Below are 24,204 nucleotides of genomic sequence, written 5' to 3'. Positions count from 1 at the left end.
AGAAAATGCTGCTTCTCATTTGATGAGGTTCAGTTCTGTTCCTATACACAGAGCAGAGGAAAGGAGCTGAGCGACATACATGCATGGAGTCAGTGCTGCTTGTGTGAATGGCCAACAGGGTTCCCTGAGCAGCAAGGGGTGCTGCCCTTTTGTGTGGCTGCAAGTTGGCAATGGGGTTAGCAAAGGTCCTAGGAATTCTATCTTCTCATTTTGAGCTGCTTCTGCCCCTTATTAAAAGGGACTCCTGTAGAGGTTTGGAGGGGCAGATGGCCTGGCATTCTTCATGTGTTTCATAGGCTTTTGATGGCTTGAACTCCCAGAAAAAGGACCCTCAAGTTTGTCATCCTGGCTTAGAGGAAGCTTTGGATTGGCAGAGAGAGATCAACCCTGACAGTGAGAGCCACTGGTTGTCCACAAAACTACTGCAATGAGGAAAAGGGCTTTCTTTTTGAGGAAATTTGTTGCCTTGGAGCTGGGGTTGGGCAGGGTGGAGGGTGTGAAGCTCAAGGATAGCAAACAACATTCTGAGCCTTTTACCATTGAGTGATAATACTTTGTATAGTATCGTTCTAATTTTTTCATAGGTTTTTACATGGATTATTTCATTTTATCTCTTTATCCTAGCAATACTATGAGGAAGCCACTTTCTTATTCCCCTTTGAAAGATGTGGAAACTGAGACACAGAGAGGTTAAGTGACCCACCTAAGAGTTATGCAGCCAACCCATTGGGCAATGTTAGGACCAGACCACGGGTCCTTGACAGCTCTGTGTTCAATGACTAGGTTAAATTGCTTCTCTTTCTGCACTGCAATGGGAGAAATAGGACTCCATTTGGCCTCTTACCTGCTGGATTTTCCTGTCTTTACAATCCTTGAAGTAGCCCGAGGCTTTGCTGGGGAGAGGTCTTAGGACCCAGCCTAGTTTGGTATTGGTTGTTTTATCTGGTAAAGGTGTTTTGTCCTCCATCCCACTCCCAGCCTGTGCTGGCCTGTGAGTGCCAGGAAAGTCAAAAGAATCTATCTGAAGGTCATGGACCAGAAGAACCTGTGGCACCACGCACCTTTCTGCGAGTTCCACACTGACTGTATTTCACCAAAAGAGGACTTTTGGTGAAGCAGAACATCTGCGTACAAGTACCTTGGAGTTGGTGCTATGTGAGCCGATGGTGGAAACAGGTTGCGGCTGAAAATGAGATGTGAAAGTTCTAGAATGGATTTTCTAGTGGCTTGAGCTCTGCAACCCCTTTTGAATGAATTTTGGTATTTGCCTGGCACCAGCTGTTGCCTAAGCTTCCTAATCTTGATTCAGCCACTCTGAAAGAAAGACCATGGCTACAACCCTACCACAGCAACCCTTACATCTCAAGTGAAACTGGGAGACATTTTGATGCATTCATTTCATGCTTCTGAACCAGTCAACTGCCGAAAAATACACACAATCCTTTCCTCAAAGGAGTTGGCCGGGTGTGGTGGCTCACGCCTATAATCCCAGCACTTTGGGAGGCTAAGACAGGCAGATTGTTTGAGCTCAACAGCTCGAGACCAGCCTGGGCAACATGGTGAAACCCAGTCTCTACAAAAAAACACAAGAAAATTAGCCAGGCGTGGTGGTGCATGCCTGTGGTCCCAGCTACTCAGGAGGTTAAGGCATGAGAATTGCTTGAGCCTGGGAGGCGGAAGTTGTAGTGAGCCGAGATTGCGCCACTGCACTCCAACTTGGGCAACAGAGCGAGATTGTCTTAAGAAAATGAAAAGCTCTCATGGAGTCAAAGCTGTAGGCATCACAGAAAGCCCTATCCGGGTCCCAGTTCACCTGCAAGAGGGACCTTTCTTCTGCTGCTCATAACATAGCCCCAGATCTTCAAGAGAGGACTTCGAGGCCACCAGCATGCGGCTCATGGCTTAGGAGCCTGAGATGTATTTCCAGTAAATGATACAGAAGCGGTAGGCATTCCTGTGATGCAGATTATTAAGAGTGATACAGAGGAGTAAAGGATAATGACCCAGGCAGATAGTATTTATACCATTATCAAAGCATTTTGATGCCCGATCTCTTAATTTGAGTCTTATAAAAACTCAGTGAGATTTACATTAAGCTGTGTAGGAGGAAATTAAAACCCAAAGCTGGACAATGACTTGCTTAAACTCATTAAACCCTGGTAACTGTGAGTAAATACTAGGCATCCTGCTTCCATAGTCTCCAAAGCTACTGCTATGGATCAGATTGTGGGTCCTCAACCTCAGGGACAATCTTTTCCTCATAGCCTAGCCCTGACAGCAGCATTTGCTCAGAATGTTCCCGGGGCCTGCTGAAGCTTTCTTAAGGCACAGCCTGCGTCCTGGTCAGCATCTGCAGAATTATACACTCTTTCTACTCAAGAGTCAGGCCAAACACTCCCCAAGTCTGGCTCCTGAACTTAGCACACTCTAAGAAGCCTGTCTCCTTAGTTCTATCCTGATTTCATTCACCATCCAAACCTAAGATTTTTGTCTAGGTCTCCTGGCCCATGAGAAAACAGGTCCTTGCTCCTATCTGTTTAATAAGACAGAATAGTGTGTAAAGTGTTTTAGAAGTACTCCTATTCAAAATAATTTTTTTTTTTTGAGATGGAGTTTCACTCTTGTTGCCCAGGCTGGAGTGCAATGGCACGATCTCGGCTCACCGCAACCTCTGCCTCCCAGATTCAAGCGATTCTCCTGTCTCAGCCTCCTGAGTAGCTGGGATTACAGGCATGTTCCACCATGCCTGGCTAATTTTGTATTCAAAATAACGTTTTTAAGTCAGTTTCCTACACTGGCCTGGGCAAAATACCTTTGACCAAATTCTCCTGAGTCTCCAAGCCTTGGGGTTTGAGGGTTCCACTCATCAGGCTTTCACTTCAGACTTACTAGAATCCACTTACTCCTTTCCTCTTTCTTCTACCTCAGATTCTGAGATCCTCTTTACTTTTTCTGTCCTCCCTGGATTATCAGGGCACTGGGCACTTTTCACTTCTCCCTTCACCACCCATGAACCTTTTCTCATTTGGCTTTACTAAGTTATCATATATCTGCATAGTTACATCCATAGTGACAGCCTTAATAAGTACAAGAGCTTTCTCTTGAGATGGAGGAACACTCATTGTCAATAAGAGCAACAACTTTGCCATTAAAAATCAACATGTGAGGGCCAGGCACAGTGGCTTACACCTGTAATCCCACACTTTGGAAGGCCGAGGCAAGTGGGTCACTGGAGGTCAGGATTTCAAGACCAGCAGCCTGGCCAACATGGTGAAACCCCATCTCTAGTAAAAATACAAAAATTAGCTGGGCATGGTGGTGGACACCTATAATCCCAGCTACTTGGGAGGCTGAGGCAGGAGAATCACTTGAACTTAGGAGGTGGAGAGGTTACAGTGAGCTGAGATCGTCTGACTGCACCCCAGCCTGGCCCACAGAGTAAGAATCCATCTCAAAAAAAAAAAAAAAAAAAAAATCAACATGTGAAACTGCTTACTAGAAAAGTTAGTCCCTTCCTCAGCCATCTGATTCTGTTTCAAGATCTGCTACTGTTAAACCAGTCTACTTAATCTTGAAGCTGTTGAAGCATTCACTTTATTTATTTATTTATTTATTTTTTGAGATGAAATCTCACTCTGCCACCCAGGTTGGAGTGCAGTGGCATGATCTCAGCTCACTGCAACCTCTGCCTCCTGGGTTCAAGCAATTCTCCTGCCTCAGCCTCCTGAGTAGCTGAGACTGCAGGCGCATGCCACCACACCCAGCTAATTTTTGTATTTTTAGTAGAGACAGGGTTTTGCCATGTTGGTCAGGCTGGTCTCGAACTCCTGACCTCAGGTGATATGCCCGGCGCATTCACATATTTTGAGGATTTAATTCACCAATCTGTTTTCCTCTCTCTTGTTTCCTTAGCTAGACTGAAGGCCTTCAGTGTGTTTCCTAGACACAACTCCCAAATCTGTGGTCCCTTTTTCTATTGCATATTTACACAGTGGTCAGTTTCTGATTACTTTAACCACTAGAACAGAAATCTGAAACTAGAAGTGATGAGGCAAAGCTTTGGAACAGCAGCAAAAACAGCCATCACAAAACTCATGCATTATATTCTGTAGGAAATCATAAACTCATATGTGGGTATCTAGCCGGTGTTCTTGATCTAGCAAGCTTAAATATATGGTTTTCTTGGGAAAGTTTTAGTTTAGCTACATTATAGTAGTAAGCAGAGTAGAGGCAGGGAGTCAAGATTTCTATAAGGGCAGCTAACAAGGGAGAAGACAAGAAACATCACTTGGAAAAGTGCCACGGTATGAGGTCATTCACTGAAAGAACAAGCTAAGCCCTGCATTCTTAGAAGTTCCCGAAAGCATCACTGAATTACTTATTGGTTCATCCAAATTCCTTGATATCACTAAGAAATGGTCTCCTTAGCCTCCTTATGCTCTGCTTAATAAGACAGAAGAGTGTGTAAAGTGTTTTAGAAGTACTCCCATTTGAAATAATGTTTTTAAGCCAATTGCATTTTGTTATTGAAAGAGGTATGTTTCAGATAACTGGAAAGTTAATTTATGTGGAACACCACCCTATCTGCATTACTTTATCCCCAGCAATATTATCTTGCTGTAAGAACCTGAAATTTATATTAAACTCAGGGCATGTGCACTAAGTGTCTGTTTATTGATTTCTCAATCATTTCTTACTAGGGCACTAGCTTTCTAGCTTCTGGCACAGAATCAAGACTAGCCAGCCTGTTTTCAAGGCTGGTCCCAGATTCCTAGTCTTGGACCTGTATGAGCTTGGGAAATCTAGGTAATCACTCTGTGTCTCAATTTCCCTTCCTGTTAAAATGAAAGAGCAATGTTTTATCTGAATTTTGACAATACCATGTGGCAATCATTAGAATAATAATGTCAACACACTGAACTCTAGAAACACATCTGGGTGGTAAGAGTGAGGAGAGAGAGAGGGCAGCAGGTGACAGAGCACAGGTCAAGCAGAATTCAGGTTAGATGGGTGCAGGGTCACATAGGTGACTAGTAGCAGAGGTTGAAAGTCAGACAATTCAGGGAAGTCGTAGGTCAGGCAAGTTGTCAAGTTAGATGGTAAAGACAGGTAGGTTAAATAGGTTAACTGAATCCATTAAATTAATAGGTGAGGTAATTTCAGATAAGTCAGACAGGTGGCAGACAAAGATAAGGAGACAAAAAAGAGGCAAGAGGAAAGGGACAGGGACGGGGACACACAGTTTGGGGGAAGGGAAACGAGGATCGAGAGGAGATGCTAGTTAAGGGAGGTAAGAGGGGGCTCTGTAGGCTCAGGGTTGTCTCTCTCCATCTCCCAAAGATGACCTGAGCTGATTATCAGAGTGAATGTGTTTTGGCATTTTGACTCTTCCTCTCTGAACTAGAAAATAGTTTATTTTCAGTAGTGAATCTCAAAATATACCTTTTCCTTCATGAAATCTAGAGGTTTTGTATGTAAAGATGAAGTCAAGGTGTCAGTTACACAGTTGACAGCCTAGAAACCTCAGTGATAACCCTCTACGTACTTTATAGCTAGAAATACACATTCACCTCCTGTCATTTGACCTCTGAACAATCCTGGGGTCTAGAGGGTGGGTGGTATCATCTCCATTGACAAGTGAGCTCCCTTCTGCATGGGTGGCACCAAGTGTCAGACAACCTGGCCACGCTCTCAAGCCCTTTTCCAATCCCATCATGCTCTTGAGAAGTGCTTCCTCTCCTCCCAGGCCCTGGAGACTCAGCCTGCTTTCCTTGCTCTGAAGGTTGGCCCTACCCTTGCCCCCACCCATCTTGTAGCACTAGCAACAGACTAGGATGAAGGTTCTCAAATCTTCTTTTTCTTTTTGTACATGAAATAAGTACCTTTTGTTTTAATATTTTACAACCCTTCACTCTAGAGAGCCGATATAGTATAAAAATAACTAACACATAGCATATATAGGTTTCAGAAATGCCATTGTGTCTGCATAGCCTGTAAAAATGGGGTTGGGCTGGCTTTCTCACAGCACTTTCTCTGAGTCCCTTCCTCCGTGGAAATTTTCCACATTCTTGTTAATACTACCAGAGCTTCACCCCCTCTCCTGATAGCATTGGCCTCCTTGAGATTGGCTGTGGCTGTGAAAAGGAAATAAATCAGTCAAGTATGCAATATCTTGGGATGTATTGCTGACCTCGTATTGTCTTCTGGGCATTACGGGACCAGGTTCATCAGGTTCACCTCAAAATAAACTGCCATGGAGTTTCCGCAATTTTTCCACAGCTCAGTCTGCATGTCTTCCTCTCCCCTATCATTATGTTAACTCACATGTGCAATAGGTAATTAGGACAGGAGAGCCAATTTCCCACGAATATGATCTCTACCCCTAATCTGGGAAGTTTTGTCCTTGGGGATTTTATCTTGTGCATATCTTGTGACGTATGGCACCTGACCATTATTATTTGGGTGGTCTCACGTGGATTTTAGTGCTCTTAATGCTTGGCAACAAGGATCTCACTAAGAAGAGACATCTATATAATTCTCAATGTCCAGCATGGGTAGATTAAATGAGCGCCAAAACCACACTAAACATACATGTCAAATAGGGGAAAGGAGAAAGAATCCAGTGCAAAGGATTAGACTGTCATATATTGCAAAACGGAATGAAATAGTCACTGGGTGTTCTTGTTCATAGATAAGGAAATATAGAATATTAGAAAGCTATGGTAGTGCATAACCAGGACAACAAGGAGACATTAAGGAATGCAGGCCTGGGCATGTTTGAGATAGCCATTGATTTTTGGCCTTGGTCCCTTAAGCTGGGCTTCATTCCTAGCTTACCCAATTTGGTTTAAATATTCTTTCCACCTTGCTTCTCTTCAACCCTTCTTGTCTTGGCACTCAGACTGTGGAGGAAATGGAAGCTTTTTAAAAAACTGAACACTATTAAACTACTAAGGAAAATATAAAAAGCATACTTTTCTTTGGAGAGATAAAAGATATTTAACTCATCTGTGTTTAAAATTAAGAATAGAAAATATAAGCCTTACTAAAGCAGTTAAATTATAAGGGAAAGAGGTAGGGAAAGAAGAGAAAGAGATGATAAAAGAAAGCAGGACAGGAAGAGAGAGAAGGAGCTCATGAGAGAGGAGGGAGAGAGGAGAAGAGGGGGAAGGAAAAGAAATAGAACAGAATATGAGAGATAGTGAAGGGGAGTAAGCCCAGAGAGGTATGGAGGGAGACAAGTCAAAATTAAGTTGTAGCTTTGGTACCAAAGATCTGGATTCTCTCTCTTTTTTTTTTTTTTTTTTTTTTTTTGAGACAGGGTCTTCCTCTGTTGCCTAGGCTGGAGTGTAGTGGCACGATCTTGGCTCACTGCAGTCTCAACCTTCCGGGCTCAAGCAATCCTCCCACCTTAGCCTCCAGAGAATCTGGGACCACAGGCCCATGCCACCATGCCTGGCTAATTTTTCTATCATTTGTGGAGACGGGGTTTCACCATATTGCCTAGGGTGGTCTTGAACTCTTGGGCTCAAGCGATCTTCCCGCCTCGGTCTCCCAAAGTGCTGGGATTACAGGTGTGAGCCACCATGCCCAACCAAGATCTGGATCTAAATCTATAAAAAAATCTACATCAAATCTACTTAGTGATGAAATATTGAAAGGATCCTCTGAGTTCAGAAATGAGACTAGGATGGCTACTATCACTACTTCTATTCAATATTGTACTGGAGGTCTTAGCTAGTGGAGTGAGGCAAGAAAAACAAATGTAAAGAAAAAAAAATAGATTTACCATTCAGGATGGGCGTGGTGGTTCATGCCTGTAATCCCAGCACTTTGGGAATCTAAGGTGGAAAGATGGCTTGAGCCTAGGAGTTCAAGACCAGCCTGGGCAACATAGCAAGACCTTGTCTCTACAAAAATAAAAAATAAAAGTTAGCCAATGTGATGTTATGCGCCTGTAGTCCCAGCTACTCTGGCGGCTGAGGTGGGAGGATTGCTTGCTTGAGCCTGGGAGGTCAAGGCTGCAGTGAGCTGTGGTTGTGCCACTGCATTCCAGCCAGGGTGACAGAGCAAGACCCTGTTCAGAAAAACAAAACAAAAACTTACTATTCATGGATGCACATGATTTGTGTGCACAGAAAATCCAAAGGAAAATCCCAGAGTGACTTTAGCAAGGTCTATACAAAGTCAGTATTCAAAAATCAATTGTATTTCTATATACAGTACACAAACAATAAAGAGAAATGGAAATCTACAAAATTATGTTTTATAATAACATGAAAAAACTTAAGATGCCCTTCTGAGCCTCATCTTTGTCAAGTGTAAAACTAGGTCTGCAGCAACAATAATAACAATAAAAATAATAGAAGCAGCAGTAGAAACAACTGGGGTTTACTGAGCATCTACAGTATGCCAGATATTGTTCTAAATGTTCACATGGATTGTTTCTTTTAACCTTTAATGGTTATTGTGAGGATTAAATAAAGTAATATATGTAAAACATTTAGCAAATTGCCTTGCATATAATAAATTCTCAATAAACTTTAGCTGTATAAAAATAATCATTATTTTAGAGAGACTCATAGACTAAGTTGTCAGTAGACCTAAGCTGCTGTTCATTTGGCTAAAGATTTGTAGAATAAACAGTCCTGTATTAGTGTTGTTTTGAATTTTTAAACAGCTCATTAATTCATTTATTCATCCAGACACTGCTCTTGGGTCTAGGAATATGGTGGGTAAGCAAAATAGATAAAAATCCGTACCCTAATGGAGTTTACACTTTAGTAGGGGAAACAGACATTAATCAAATGATATCACGGATTGTGGTATGAAGCTGAAAGTACAAGTACAAGGCATATGAGAGCATAAAAGCAGGAACCTAGTCTGGACTAGAGAATGAAAGAAGGCTTTCTGGCAAAAAATGTCAGTTGAGCTGAGTTCTGAAGGATAAGTGGAACAGGGCAGGGGTAGGAGAATTCTCTGTGCAGAGAAAGCAGTCCATCTGAAGGGGGTGAGGATAGTGGGTGGAGGGAGAGCTTGGTATGTTTCAGGAACTGGAAAAAATGAGTGACTAGAGTTCAGTGAATGAGGAGAGGGTTATTGAATGAGCTATGGCTACAAAGGAGGACAGAGGACAGGTCATCAGGGCCTCGGGAGTCTTGTTAAGGATTTTTGCAGTTATTCTAAGAAGAATGTAGCGCACTGCGGGGTTTTATGAAAAGAAATGATGTGATCGGATCCGTGTTTTGAAAATACTTCTCCATTGAAGAGGCTACTACTGTTGTCTAGGGAGATGTGAAAGTAGGTTAGGCTAGGGCACCATTAGCAGAGGGAAGAATTAGTGGGTATATTTGAGAGATGTTTAAGGGGTAGAATTGATGGGGCTTGGTATTAGCTTGGGTGTGGCAGGAGGGATGCTTCACTGATGCCTCCTTCCTAGGATCTGACTTGCAGAACTGAATGACTAGGAGTGACTTTCACTGAGATGAGGACAGTGTTCATGGCAAAATAGCTTTAGTAACTTTATATTGAAACTTGAGAATGTATTTGAAGTATTTATTTTCCTGTGAAAATGTGAATGGGGAAGAAATGACAGGTTCAAGACACTGATTTTGGAAACTTAGATAGATATGCCTAATTCCCATTTTCTCTTTGTTTTTCAAAAGATGTGAAATTGTTATATATTTAGTCTTTTTTTTAAAGGGCAGGGATATGAAACTTACACATTCCTGAAGATTATATTTAGAGCCAGTCTCCCTCCTTTTCCCTAAATCTGTCTCTTCAATCTGAAAAATGGAATGGATTCAGTACAGAAATCTGTATCTTCAACTTCTTTTTATAAACCTTTTACATCTCTTCTCCTCAGATGTAAGAAAATAATTTTGGAGTCAGAACATTACTGCCTTATCCAATGATTGTACGGATTGGGTGATATTAAGATTTAGCTGCTTTGATGTTCTCTGCCTCTGGTTTGGAATATCTTTGGCAGGTATACTAGGGCCAGAAAAGACCTTCAAATATCTTGGTTAAAGCCTACATCAAATGCTAGTAGTGCTTGGAGTTGATCTGAACAACCCCATAAGAAGGCCCTGCAGTTGACCCAGGTTCCCCAGGACTGATTGGAACTTTCTGAGCCTTGGCATTCTCTCAAAGAAGGTCTGAGGCAGATAAGAGTTTGAGCCTTCTCAACCCCCTGCTACTTTTGTATAGCAGAAACTATTCTATAGCACCCCTTGACGGGAAGAGAAGCCACTGGTGGTATAGTCAGAGGGGAATTTGAAGTTAGAGGGCAGTCCCACAGCCGGACCCTTTGCTTAGGTACAAGACTGGGGTGAGGGATATGGCTGTGTGTGTGTGTGTCTGTGTGTGTGTCTGTGTGTGTGTGTACATGCCTCAGGTCAGGCAATAAGTTCTCCTTCTCACTCTTGCTGTGACACACACACACACACACACACACACACACAATAGTTCTCCGCTTGTGCCTCTCTCTCTATGTCATAGCCTAGCAGCCTCCTTGGTTTCAGGAAGAGGAACAGGGCTTCATGCATTGCCTGAGTTCCTGGCAGCTACCAGCAGCTACCAGACTCTGAAGCCAGAGTGGAATTGGAGCATGGGAGTTCCTGTGGGTTGGGTCCCTCCTCTCCCTCCCTCCATTCCCAGCTAGCAGCCTGACTCTACCCCTTGTCTCTGTTCCTGCAGCACTCCACCTCGCTGAGCATCATGGGCTTTTCCAACACTCTGGAGATGGAGTTGTCATCTACCAGGTTGGAGAGGCCCCTAGAGCCACAGATCCAGAGTGTGAGCAACCTGACAGCTGGTGCCCCCCAGGCAGTACCAAGCCTGCTGAGTGCTCCCCCCAAAATGGTGTCCAGCCTGACAAGTGTTCAAAACCAGGCCATGCCCAGCCTGACAACCAGTCACCTACAGACTGTGCCCAGCCTTGTGCATAGCACATTCCAGTCCATGCCCAACCTGATAAGTGACTCCCCTCAGGCTATGGCAAGCCTGGCAAGTGATCACCCTCAGGCTGGGCCCAGCCTAATGTCTGGTCACACCCAGGCTGTGCCGAGTCTGGCAACTTGTCCTCTGCAGAGCATCCCTCCAGTTTCTGACATGCAGCCAGAAACTGGGTCCAGCTCCAGTTCTGGCCGAACTTCAGGGAGCCTGTGTCCCAGAGATGGGGCTGATCCCTCCCTGGAGAATGCTCTGTGTAAGGTAAGTCCTGGGGAAATGCTATCCAAACTTCCTTTGTTCATCATTGGGCAAAAGATTGGCCACTGGGACCCTTATTCTGACCTTAGCTTAACAGTTCTGAGACCACTAATGACAACCATGTCTGAGTTCTTTGATTCTTGTCGACATTTCACTTTTGAAAGATGGAAAGTGAGGATTCCACTCGCTTCACTGACTTACTGGGACAAGGTCCCATAGTCCCCGGTCTGGATGCTCCCAAGGACTTGGCCATCCCCTCAGAACTGGAGGAGCCAATTAACCTCTCTGTGAAGAAACCTCCACTGGCGCCAGTGGTCAGCACGTCTACAGCTCTGCAGCAGTACCAGAACCCAAAAGGTGAGACTCAAGCAGCCTGCCCTTCATGTTGGCCACAGACTTGAGCAGATGGACTCAGCACTTCTAGGTAAGAGAGGCCAGCAGACAAGCTCTAAGCTGGGGAAGCAGTGCATCTCTCTGAGGCTGAATTTACTTCTCTCCTCCGGAACTGTCTTAGTGACACCTGTTCTGCTTCCCTCACTGTGGCCATGGCTGATCTAGGCATGGCCAGGACTTACTCTTTTTGTAACACTCCCCATGCAAAGAGTCCTGGGGGTCTGCATTATACCTAGGGGGAAACAGAACTCAGCCCAGGAGGGCTAGCCTTGACAAAATGTTATAGGGAAAAGAGCATGTCTGACTTTGGAGTCCGATAGATGGAATTTGGTAAACCAGTTCTCTCTCCCTGTGATCCCGGGTAAGATACCTAACCTCCCTCAACTGATTTCTTTCTCTCTAAATGGGGCCAATCGCACCTACTTCTTAGGCTACTGGGACCAGTAACTATAGTGAAATCATTTGATAACTTCCTCTGAGTAGTAAGGATTTTCCTGGTACCTGACACTAATGTGGATTTGTGTTGTGCCTCATAGTGAAGGCAATTTGGACCATTGGAGATTGGTTCTGATTCGCTTCTCAGCTTCCCATGCCCCTTCTCCAACCAGGCTAGGCTAAGTTTGTTCTTCTGTGGAAGGTGAGGGCTAGTTGGGAAGTCAGGAAGCGACTTCCTGATGATCATTTGGGACTTTTTTCGTTCAATGTATGATGCGTGTTTAATTTGTAATGATTAGTCTGTTTCCTATATGTGTAATAAATGAAAACGAAAGAAATAATTTTTCTCCTTTTTTTTCACACTGACTGAAAGGCCAACTGAAAAATCGTTGGTTCTTATTACACACAATAATGTAACTCTGCATTTTATGCAGTTAAACTTTTTAGACCCTGCTTGCGCATGTACAGTGCCTAGGACCTTGCCTGGTGCTGAATGGATGCTAGTTTCATCCTTTTGCCCCATCACTGCCTCCTGCCCATCTCCATAGACTGCATACTCAGGGGAGAACTCCCTGGGAGCCTCTTTTCCATGGAGTGTGAGCTGGATTCTCAAGCACTGCTGGAATCCCAGCACTTGGCTGACATGGCAGAGGCTGGACAAAAAGACTCCTCAGAGGAGGCAACACTGGTGTACTGAGAACAAGTGATTTCTGAGCTCATCTTGAAGGTGAGAAACTGGCCCATCAGTGCCTGACCCAACACTTACCCATAGGCAGCCTCTTGAGTGTTACTTGTGTTCATCTTTTTAAAAGAAGGTGGGCTTCCTCCTCTCAAGAAGGAGATCCACGGCAGACTTGTCACCACTATGTATGAATGACTATAGTGTAGGTAACTACTGTATGACAGATGTGTGGCCAAAGGTATGAATAGCAGATATAAGTAGAAGATATGCATGACGGGGTTTGTTGCCACAAATGTGTGTCACAGGTATTTGTTTGTCTTTTGCCTTAGAGTGTGAGAATTTTGAACAAGGAGCCCTAGAGCTGGATGCAAAAGAGAACCAGAGCATCAGGTAACAGCCTTCTGGCTAATCTCCCTCCCACCCATGACTTCACGTCCTGAGATGCTGGCACAGGGATGAAGCATCCTTGATGAATTAACTACAAGTGGAAGAAATTTGCCTGCAACTGCCTTCCTCAACCCCTCAACCTTCAAGTGGATGTCTGGGATGGTTGTGGGAGGATGTCCTGGCTCCTGCACCACGAGGCATGCGCTCTGGGTGCCGCCCTTGCACTTCAGGGAGCTCCTGTCTTTGACCAGGACTACACCATAGGGCTTCCCAGTGGCTGACAGGGCCTGGCCATGCAGAGGTGGGCCAGGAGGACAGAATGTGGTGGACCTGTAGAGTCCACATTCAGAGTCCAAATCCAAGAGGATCTGGAGTAACAATTCAGCTGGGGATTGTATTAGTCAGGGTTCTCTAGAGGCACAGAACAAGTAGGAGATATATATATATATATATGTGTGTGTGTGTGTGTGTGTGTGTGTTGTGTGTGTGTGTACTTCCATATATATACACACACACATATATATATACATATATATATGGAAGTTTATTAAGTATTAATTTACGTGATCACAGGGTCCCACAATAGGTTGTCTGCAAGCTTGAGGAGCAAGGAGACCCAGTCTGAGTCTCAAAACTGAAGAACTTGGAGTCCGATGTTCAAGGGTAGGACGCGTCTAGCACAGGAGAAAGATATAGCCAGGAGGCTAGGCCAGTCTCTCCTTTTCATGTTTTCCTGCCTGCTTTATATTTGCTGGCAGCTGATTAGATGGTGCCCACCCAATTAAGGGTGGGCCTGCCTTTCGCAGCCCACTGACTCAAATGTTAATCTCCTTTGGCAGTGCCATCACAGACACACCCAGGATAAATACTTTGTATCCTTCAATCCAATCAAGTTGACACTCAATATTAATCATCACAGGGATCATGGATGTTTCTGACTTAGAGGTTGGGACCAGAGGAGGATCCCACCAAGACCCCGGGGTGTCTGTCTTGCTGCAGAGCCTTCAATAGTGAGCATAAGATTCCCTATGTGCGACTGGAGCGACTCAAGATCTGTGCTGCCTCCTCAGGAGAGATGCCTGTGTTCAAACTGAAGCCACAGAAGAATGATCAGGATGGGAGCTTCCTGCTGATCATCGAGTGTGGCACTGAGTCCTCCAGCATGTCCATTAAGGTACCACTTTGCTTTGCCTTGGCCTTAAACCCTGGCCCAGCCTAAGAGCTTATTCTTTCTGCTACTGCCCGAATTCTGACTCTGGGACCTTTCCTGAGTCTCTGATGGGGCTGCAGCTTGGCCAGACGTTGTCCCCTGCTGCAAGGTCCTGTGAGATGCATATTAGGAGTGAGGTGTCCCAGCATTCATGGGGCTTGCTGGCTTGGGGTCCTGGAATAAGTGGCTCTCATGTAGGCATGCAGGGCCTGCCAGTCTCTCCCTCCCCTCCCTCGAGAGCTTGTTGGTTCTGTGCTCTGGCTGCCCAGACTTACTTCTTCCCCAAGGTCAGCCAGGACAGACTGTCTGAGGCCACCCAGGCCCCAGGTCTGGAGGGAAGAAAGGTCACTGTCACTTCTTTGGCTGGGCAGCGGCCACCAGAAGTGGAGGGCACATCTCCTGAAGAACACAGACTCATTCCTCGAACCCCAGGAGCCAAGAAGGGCCCCCCAGCCCCAATAGAGAATGAGGACTTCTGTGCTGTTTGCCTCAATGGCGGAGAGTTACTGTGCTGTGACCGCTGCCCCAAAGTGTTCCACCTCTCCTGCCATGTGCCAGCCTTGCTCAGCTTCCCAGGGTGAGTCATGCCAGTCCAGGACCATCACCTGGCTAGTAGGGTTACCTTCCAGGGATGATTATTCCAGGCCAGGCCCACAGAGCTCCCAGGATGGGCTTACTCCCCTCTTCTGGACCTGCTTGAATTGCAGGTCTGTGAGTTAATGGGCCTGGGTATCTTCTGCACACAGACAGGTGGATGCTTGACATTTGGTTGACTTCATTTCTACCTCTTTTCTCACCTTCTTCTTGCATGTGGATTTGTGCCTATACTACTACCCCAGCCTCCCCTAACCCCTGTTTTTCTAGATTCACAAAATTCTGAGTTATTGAATTTCTTCCAAGCCTGTGGCTAGAAAGCCATTTCTTACACGGCAAAGCCGGAGACTCAGTTTCTCACGCCTGCCATAGGGCAGAGGGAGAGGGAAGGGTGCTCTGGGCAATGTGCTGAGGCCTAACATGGCCTCACCTGCCCCTGCAGGGGAGAGTGGGTGTGTACCTTGTGCCGCAGCCTGACCCAGCCCGAGATGGAGTACGACTGTGAGAATGCCTGCTATAACCAGCCTGGAATGCGGGCATCTCCTGGCCTAAGCATGTATGACCAGAAGGTAGGGAGGAGTCTTTGGAAACAAGGTTCCCTGCCTTTGGCAGCCCCCTTCTGCCTACAGGGTCTGAGGCCTTTGAGAGGGGATGAGGGGCTTTTCTGGATACATTTCTTCGTCCTATGCCTGACAACTTGGCCCAGGGGTGTTTGGATAATTTTCCTTCTCCTAGCAGTTTTCCTCTGGCTTGGGAACCTGAATTGTGCCTTAGTATGGCAGCTGGCATCCTGTGGGACAGAGCCAGGGAGTTATCAGGGTCAACATCTTTAGTTCATACTGAGGTGAGACCAGAACAAAGTGACTCTGTTGCCAATTCTGATTTTGCAGAAGTGTGAGAAGCTGGTATTGTCCTTGTGCTGCAATAACCTCAGCCTGCCCTTCCATGAACCTGTCAGCCCCCTGGTAAGGAAGGCCACGCTGTTCTCTCACCTTCTCCTTGCATGTGGATTTGTGCCTATACTGCTACCCCAGCCTCCCCTAACCCCTGTTTTTCTAGAGTCACAAAATTCTGAGTTATTGAATTTTGTGCCTGCTACTGTCTTTTCTGCTCAGAGGGCCCAGGCCATGGGGCAGGAGCGTGGTGGTTCCCAGGTTGGGCTCAGAGCATGGCCACTGGGAGTAGTGACAATATTAACTTATGGATAGTCCAGGGGACCGTAGGGCCATGGCCATTCCAGCCTCCCCCACCACAACTGCTACTGTATCAGATCCTACTTGACAGGTGACACATTCCTCCTTTTCCCTTGCTCTTTGTCTTCTTTCTCCATCCTTTTCTTCCTGCTGCTCCTCATCATTCCTCTTCCTATTCTTTCACTTATATTTCACCTCATTTTCCATTTCTTCTTCCTTCTTATCCACACCTCCATTTCTTCTCTCACTCCCTTTGCCTCCTTCTCCTCATGTCTCCTCCCCCAAGGCCCGGCATTATTACCAGATTATCAAGAGGCCCATGGACCTGTCAATCATCCGGAGGAAGCTGCAAAAGAAGGACCCAGCTCACTATACCACCCCAGAGGAGGTGGTATCAGATGTGCGCCTCATGTTCTGGAACTGTGCTAAGTTCAATTATGTATGTCTTGCCTGTTTTCCCTCTCTCCTATTTCCCTGCATCCCCAGGACTGTCATGGGTGGGTAGGGTTGGGAGGTTAGGTTTGGTCTGGGCTGCCATGAGGACTGGGGAGCAGATTCTGGGGGCCTGCTGTGGTGAGTGTTTAAAAGCTCTCTCCCACACTCAGGCCTTAGCATGGACTCAGGAAAAAGGGGAGGTACTAGTGAGTGGCCATCTGTGGATACCTGTTGGGGTCACTTCTGCTATAAGAGCTGCTACCAAACTAGTTTTCCTGAGTCCTAGGAGAAAAATGTCAAGTTCCAGACACCTCAGGACACCCCGCTAGGCTTTGTGCTCTGTGTAGCTCTTGAGGGACCCGAAAGAGATGGACTGGTAGAAACAGGCTAGACCATCACTGCTCTCCTCCCCCATCAGCCTGACTCCGAGGTTGCAGAGGCTGGCCGCTGCCTGGAAGTGTTCTTTGAGGGCTGGTTGAAGGAGATCTACCCGGAGAAACGGTTTGCCCAGCCAAGGCAGGAGGACTCAGACTCCGAGGAGGTGTCTAGTGAGAGTGGATGTTCCACTCCCCAGGGCTTCCCGTGGCCTCCCTACATGCAGGAGGGCATCCAACCCAAGAGGCGGCGACGACATATGGTAAAGAGTTACTGCCAGCCAGCAGCAGGTGGGCGGTGATCAGGCAAGCAGAGGGGCACCCAAGCAGAACCTAAGGTGAAGCTGTTCGGGTGGTGCAAAAAGATGGTGGTGACAACGAACCCTCACTTCCAGCCCCTTAGCCCCCAGGGAAGGCAGGGCAGTACAGGGCCCATCAATGCCAGTTACTCACGAGACTTGAAACTCAGAAAGGTGCCTGTCCCTGCCCAGGGTAACCCAGCATTTAGCAGCAGACCTGGGCTGAGAAACCAGTTGTCCTGATTCCCAGTTTGGTGCTGGTTACTCCACACTGTGATTGTGATGCCCCTAAGAAGGGAATTACCTGGTCTTAGTGCCTGGTTTCTATTTGGGTTTGAGAGAGAAAGGAAGGGATCTTTCTTAGCCCCTTGGTGTAGGTAAGGAAGGAGAGGTATTGCTTGCAGCAGAGAGAGCTCCTCTGATCTTTGGGCTGGTCCCACCTGTGTAGACCAGAAATGTCCATTCAGGGCTGTTTAATTCCACTGAAATATTTTGCCTGCCTACTGTGTGCCAGGGTCTGGCCAGCCATCCCCAGTTGTTTACCATACTTAGCATACAATGTTTAGTGGCTTCAGTAAGTTTTACTGCTGCATTCCTAGGGTAGAATAAAATACGTTGACTTGGCAGAACTGCAATCTTGACATAGCCTTTTCATGTTAATAAATCCTACATTTGGCTATTTTAATTCCAAATATATATTTTTCTTTCAGGAGAATGAAAGAGCAAAAAGAATGTCATTTCGCCTGGCCAACAGCATCTCTCAGGTGTGAGAGCCAAAAGGAGACTGGGCACTCTGGCAGCTGTTGTCCCATACTGTCGACCATTCCTCCCCATCTTGCAGCTTATCCTCTTCAGAGTGTGGATGGTAGATGAGTCTTGTTGAACTGTGTAGTGCTCTTCTTTGCCATTTGCATCTACAGCATTTATTTGGGAGCCGTAGTACATCCACTACAGAGAAGATTTCAGTAATAAACAGGAAAGAGGAAGGTATTTATTATTACCAGAGTAATCAGATGTATAGGCTCCACTTGACAAGACCACACCTGGTTAGGCTCGGGAAAACCTACTTTCCTTGGTGAATTTTTTTCTGCCTGGGAAAGCAGACCCGTCTAACCTTTTAGTGTCCAGGGCTCAGGAGCCATGTATACATCTGAACTCCTCCTGGGCTCAGAAGTGGGTAAAAGAAGGGAGAGAGGTTTAGACATATGGCAGGACTGTGATCCCTGGCCCAGCACAGCCAAAGACTGTCACTGTTTGCCTTTGCTTGTCCTGTCTGGATAGAGGCACCTGCCATGTGCAGACTAGTGGAGGCTTCTAGAGGCCATAGGTCTCAATTTGTGCCTATTTGGGTTCTAACGGTTTTCAGGGTATTTGTTTTGCATAGTCACTTTCCTGATGTTGACATAGGTGGCTGCTGTGAAAATGCTGTGGATGGTGTGACATTCTTGACTGAGCTGGGTGGCTGTGGAGAGACCACTTAAATCTTCTGGTTCAGATTTCACTTACAGACTTAGTAAGATGTCCACTTCAGAGCCCGCCCTCTGTGCTACTTACTCTGGGCTAATCACACTTCTTTAGGGTGAGAACCTGCCTTCCTAGAAGTGACTGTTGGTGCTTGTCAGTGGCCATACCCTTCATCATCCTCATTCAGAGGTATGGATCGTGAGTTCTGCTTGTGAATACTGTGAGACAGCTGCTGTCTGCTTCAGGTCCAGAGTTCCATGGGTGGAGAGAGTAACCCACAACCAGCTCACTCCTCTGGGCCTCTCCTCCTGCTTAAAGATTCTAGTTCTCAACCTCTCCAAGTTCATGAGCCAAAGATCAGAAGTGAGTCTTCTGACCAGCCCGCCTCCAGGCTGTCTACAGCCCCAAAAAAGCCAACACTTTTCTGGCAGCCCTTTTTGTTGGAGGTTAGAGAAGGCCTCAGGGACCAACAGGGGCCAGATCTAGACATTCCTGGGGGAAGTTTGTCTAAGGTGGACAGGGGGAAAAATCAAGAGGCAAAAAGCCAGTGTCCTTTGGTGACCATGAAGCAACCTCAGAGCCTTAGTTCTCCTAGAATGCAGAGAGAAGCATTCTGGAAGCCATGGGAACAGGAGCTCGAGGCTGCATCCTGAATGCATCTGCATGGCCCTCGCAGGGTGTTTGTGAGGATACTGGAGGTCAGGCTACCTCCCAAGCAAGGGCTTGGTTGAGAAGGAACCCATTGCTCATATTGTTGGGGGAGCTATGAACCTGACATGTCAGTGGCCAGGACTGAGACAGCTCTCCCTGGTCCTGTCATTGCATGGCTAATTTCAGGGGAGTCTGAGGTCATGGCTTTATTTTTGCTAACAGATGAAGTTCAAGGATGTTCTTGTTTGTAGGGCCTTTGCTAATGAGCAGTTTTTTAATTAGAAAACATTTCTTCTCTCTTTGTGAGTTGATGGTATTGCTCATTTCCTTCTCTACCCAACCTGAGAGATCATCTTCACTTTAAAGCAAACCATGCCCCTTGGCTTGCCATTCTTTCAGCAGCACATGCCACGTTCTAAGCAGATGGGCTTCCGTGATCCCGTTTTCTAGTTTGGGGTAACTGAGTCTTGAATGCTTTACTAGTCCGGCAATCTTTGGACTTAGGCTTCTGCCCTTTGAGACTCACATGACTTTCTGGTTTGGGGTCTGGTCATTTCCCTTTCAATTTTTGAATCTCCTTCTCTGTTCAGTTGGCTTGGCAAAGTACCCTCTGTTCTCATGTCACTAATTCCTGCTCTAGGTCATCTTTCCTTTGTGCAGCCCACATTCCCACCATCCTGTGAACTTTGTTGTACTTGGTGTTGGGCAACTGGTGAGTGTTGTGACAGGCTCAGACCTGATCCTTCCTCAGGAGCAATTGGAGACCACAAATTTAAAGCAGAAATACCTGTTAAAAGCTTGGCTTTCCTTATATGAGTGAGGCTCCCAGCTTGGGTGTGGCCTCCTGGGCTCACGGATCAGCTTGCTGGGCCAGAGGGGGTCTTAGTAATGTGCTAGAGAGACACATGCTCCCTTCTCATCGTAGAGAGCCTGCATGCTGAGAGGCTCCCTTTACACACCTGCCTCTCGCTGGCTTTTCCTTTAGACCTAGCCACCAGTGTTTTGAATCATGGTTTTGTTTTGTTTTTGCATGCAAAAACCAGAACATGACTTAGAAATTAAAAAAAAAAAAATCCTACTAGCCAAGTGACTGCCTGCAGAGGCTCTTCATTAACATTTGGGCTGATCCTGCTTTTGACTTATTCCCATAATGGCCCAGTTTTGAAGTCAGCCAAGTCCTTTTGTCCTTGACAACATCATGCAGTGGAAATACGGTGAGTTCTAGATTCTTATGGGACAGCATGCAGCCCTAGAGGAAAAATTGACTTCTTGGGTATGCTGAGAAATAAGACAGTAAAATGGCTTCAGTTGATGCAAGGGGATTTTAGTTAAAAATTGGTTCAGGATTTTTAAATTTTATTTTATTTTTTGGCTGGGCGCGGTGGCTCACGCCTGTAATCCCAGCACTTTGGGAGGCTGAGGTGGGTGGATCACCTAAGGACAGCAGTTCGAGACCAGCCTGGCCAACATAGTGAAACCCTGTCTCTACTAAAAATACAAATATCAGCCAGGTGTGATGGCACATGCCTGTAATCCCAGCTACTTGGGAGGCTGAGGCAGGAGAATTGCTTGAATCCGGGAGGTGGAGGTTGCAGTGAGCTGAGATCATGCCATTGCATTCCAGCCTGGGCAACAGAACGAGACTCCGTCTCAAAAAAAAAAAAATTGGTTCAGGATGAACTTGCAGAGCACTCTTCCACAGAACATGGTTAGGTTAGCCCTGCCTGACTTCTAGCAATTGCTAACTATACACCTTGCCTGCCTCTAGGACCCCTACCTGAGTGGCAACCATACCTTCCATATGCTCTGTTCCATGGCAGTCCCTGCCATCCCCCACCAGCGGACTCTGGCTCCCTCCCTGTACCCATTTCTAGCAACAGCTCCTTGCCTGGCTGCTAAGACGGAGGCGCCTCCTTGTTTGTTCCTGGGCTCTGTTCTGCTCCCTCTCTCACTCCATGGAGTCACTTATAGTCTTCCTTTCTGAACGCCAGAATTGAGCCTTTGCTCCTTCTGGATCACCCCTTCCTGGGCTTCTTCTCCATCCCTCAGTACTGCTAAAATTGCCCTGCTCCTTTAGTCCATTTCCATGACCTCAGCCCTCTCTCTCCTCTCCTTGTCTTTTAACTTTCTCCTGGACTTCTTCCTCTCCCCAGCATGAACCCAGAGCCTATCACACACTGATGTTTTTGTCAGCATCCTGAACTTTCTCATGCCCTTCAACTTTATTTATTTATTTATTTATTTATTTTTTATTTTTTGAGAGAGAGAGTCTCACTCTGTCATGCAGGCTGGAGTGCAGTGGTATGATGTCGGCTCATTGCAACCTCTGCCTTCTGGGCTCAGGTGATCCTCCCATCTCAGCCTCCTGAGTAGCTGGGACTACAGGTGCATGCCACCATGCCTGGCTAATTTTTCTACTTTAGGTAGAGATGGAGTTTCGCCATGTTGCTCAAGCTGGTATCAACACTCCTGGGCTCAAGCAGTCTGCTTCCCTTGGCCTCCCAAAGTGCTGGGATTACAGGCGTGAGCCACTGCGCCAGGCGTATCCCCTTCAATTTTGCTGAAACTATCAGCCATTCTCCATTTTCGGCATCATCATATTTGCTGCTTCCACCTCCTGGGCTGCTATGCATGACAGATTCACAGTTGGCAGCCTCAGTTGAGCTCTCAGTGTTGACTGGAAATTCTTTAACTTGTTGTGATCCCTTTTTTTTTCCCCACCCATGCCTCCATCTTTGTCCTCCACAAATGACTGAGCTCACTGTCTACTTCACAGAAGACAGCCCCTAAAGCAAGAGCTTCCTTGCCTGCTGTTCCTCTCTCCCCTCTCATTCATCTGTGTCTGTAACTCTCCCCAACCCCTCCATTCTTGCTCCTATTTAATTCTCTATATCTTGAATCCTGTTGTATGTCCTCCAAGACTGCTCCCTCGCTTACTCCACTGCTCCCACTCCCTGGAGTCTCCAGCCTCTGTCTCCACTGGTTACCTCCACACAGCCTGCAAACAAGTTCTCCACAAGATTAAAACAGCATTTCTCAGAGTCTGTTACCCCTTACACATTTTCCTTGTTAACCAAGTTACTTTTAAAAAGATCCTTTTTAAACTGATTCTTCCTCAGCTGTTCTTCAGCCCTCTATACTTTTTCATAAAAGTCACCAGTGACTGCCCAGTTGCCAAATAGAATGAATACCTTTCAGTGCTCAGCTGTCTTGACCTCTCCGCAGCATTTCACACCACCCACCAACCCTCAGTGAAACAACCTCCTCCCTTAGCTTTTATGACACCACAAGTCTCTGGATTCTCAGAGAATCCAGAAAAACAAGTCTCTGGATTCTCTCCTCTTACCTCTCAGCCCACACAGGCTGAGCTGTCCTTGAAACCTAGATGGGGGAAATGTCTGTGGCTGTCTGTGGTCTCTTCTTTTCAGGAGTTGGGTAGGGAGGAAGAATCACAGCTGCTCCTGCTTCCTCTGTCTGTCTCTCTATTTCCTGAGTCCCTTCCTTTTCCTGAACTCAGTTCTCCTCATGCCAACCATGTTTATGAGCTCCTGCTGGGAGGACAGCATCTGTGAGTCCTTCCCTCTGTCTCTCCCAGACAACACAGAGGTTTTAGCCTGTTTGCTAAGAGACCCCATCTAAGTCAGCCCAAGGGTGTGGATTAGGTTTTACAGCATCCAGGCCGCAGTCTGGCTAAACTGGATTACCAGGCTGGTGGGCAGCTCCTCACCATGATCCTGCACCAGTTAGAGCCTGCTGTAGTTGGGAAGGAGCCTGGGATTGTGGTAAGATGTGTTTCCGTGCATGTCAGTGCTGCTAACCAGGAGGAGAACCTGGCAGGGTGGGTGCCTGCTGCTGATAACATTCGGATGGAGGGAGACTAGGGAGCGCGGTGGCTGCTCCCTTGCTGGGGCTCAGCTGGAGTCAGCATGACTCCTTATATCAGGGCCTTTCCCACCTGTGCTGATCACCACCACCTGCTTGCTCCAGTTGTTTCTGGAGTTGGAGGCAGCTATTGGTTGCTTTCTTGGAGGTAAGGAGGTATATACTAGAAAGATATCTGATTTGAGAGTCTGAACACCAAAATTTTTGGCTCTTTCCATTATGAGCTGTGTAACCTTGGATACAGTTTCCTCATCTATAAAGTTGTGGTGGGAGAATGGCTGAGAACAGTGATCTCTCAGCTCTCCAGCTGTAAAGATGTTAATTATGATTTTAACTCTCAAGATCAGGCCACATAAGGAACAGGGGAATTCCAGGGGTGGGACACAGCTGGGGGAGTCCAGACCAGGGCAGGGAAAGGAGACTCACAAGCCAAACAGAGCTGCTTTGGGGAAAGTTCTTATCAGCTGGTGCTGCTTCCTGAGCCATATGCCCATTCCTCAAGCTGTACCCCTTTCTTGGCTATGTAGGATGAGTTCCTCCTAGGCCCTTGTTAGGAGTGGCTATTGGATTCTAAGCGGTTGGGGCATGAGGGAGGATATTTTAAAGGGAAGTATAGCTGATTTTAAAAGAACCTATACATTCAAGAACAAATAAAAAACAGCACTTTTCTTTACCAAGAATTGCGTCCTGGAGTGTTTTTCAGCGAAGATAGTTGAACCTATCACATGGTCTTCTTGCCCCTAGATCTCTACATCATAAGAACTCAAGGTGGGGAAGAATAGCCTGGGAAGCCTTTCTCTCTAGGGAAGAACTCACCTCTCTGCTTTTTCTTCTTCTTATTATTTTTTGTTTTGTTTTTTGAGACGGGAGTCTCACCCTGTCGCCAGGCTGGAGTGCAGTGGCGCGATCTCGGCTCACTGCAACCTCCGCCTTCCAGGTTCAAGCGATCCTCCTGCCTCAGGCTCCCAAGTAGCTGGGACTACAGGTGCGCACC

General features: G+C 46.4%; 1 protein-coding gene across 36 annotated transcripts in view; it reads left to right on the top strand.

Moving 5' to 3' along the window:
- The window catches only part of TRIM66 (tripartite motif containing 66), a 71,192-nt gene extending 47,305 nt beyond the window's left edge, over positions 1-23,887 (top strand). For 19 of the 36 annotated variants that reach the window (XM_017018629.2, XM_011520507.4, NM_001388023.1 and 16 more), the window contains 10 exons: positions 10,699-11,214; positions 11,376-11,568; positions 13,051-13,111; positions 14,108-14,282; positions 14,606-14,895; positions 15,355-15,481; positions 15,803-15,877; positions 16,392-16,544; positions 16,959-17,177; positions 17,924-23,887. In XM_017018629.2, coding sequence (XP_016874118.1) covers positions 10,699-11,214; positions 11,376-11,568; positions 13,051-13,111; positions 14,108-14,282; positions 14,606-14,895; positions 15,355-15,481; positions 15,803-15,877; positions 16,392-16,544; positions 16,959-17,177; positions 17,924-17,983 — 1,869 coding nt within the window. In that variant the 3' untranslated portion in view covers positions 17,984-23,887. Of the gene's footprint in view, positions 1-10,698; positions 11,219-11,375; positions 11,636-13,050; positions 13,112-14,027; positions 14,283-14,605; positions 14,896-15,354; positions 15,482-15,802; positions 15,878-16,391; positions 16,545-16,958; positions 17,221-17,923 lie in introns of those variants that run through there. The other 17 variants (NM_001388024.1, XM_047427941.1, XM_047427943.1 and 14 more) reach the window with 9 other exon arrangements.
- The last annotated feature ends 317 nt before the right edge of the window (positions 23,888-24,204 follow it).

This window comes from Homo sapiens, chromosome 11 (genome assembly GCF_000001405.40).
Source record: "Homo sapiens chromosome 11, GRCh38.p14 Primary Assembly".
Taxonomy (NCBI): domain Eukaryota; kingdom Metazoa; phylum Chordata; class Mammalia; order Primates; family Hominidae; genus Homo; species Homo sapiens.
The sequence above is the reverse complement of the archived record's forward strand: the minus strand, read 5'-3'. Positions and strand labels throughout refer to the sequence as shown.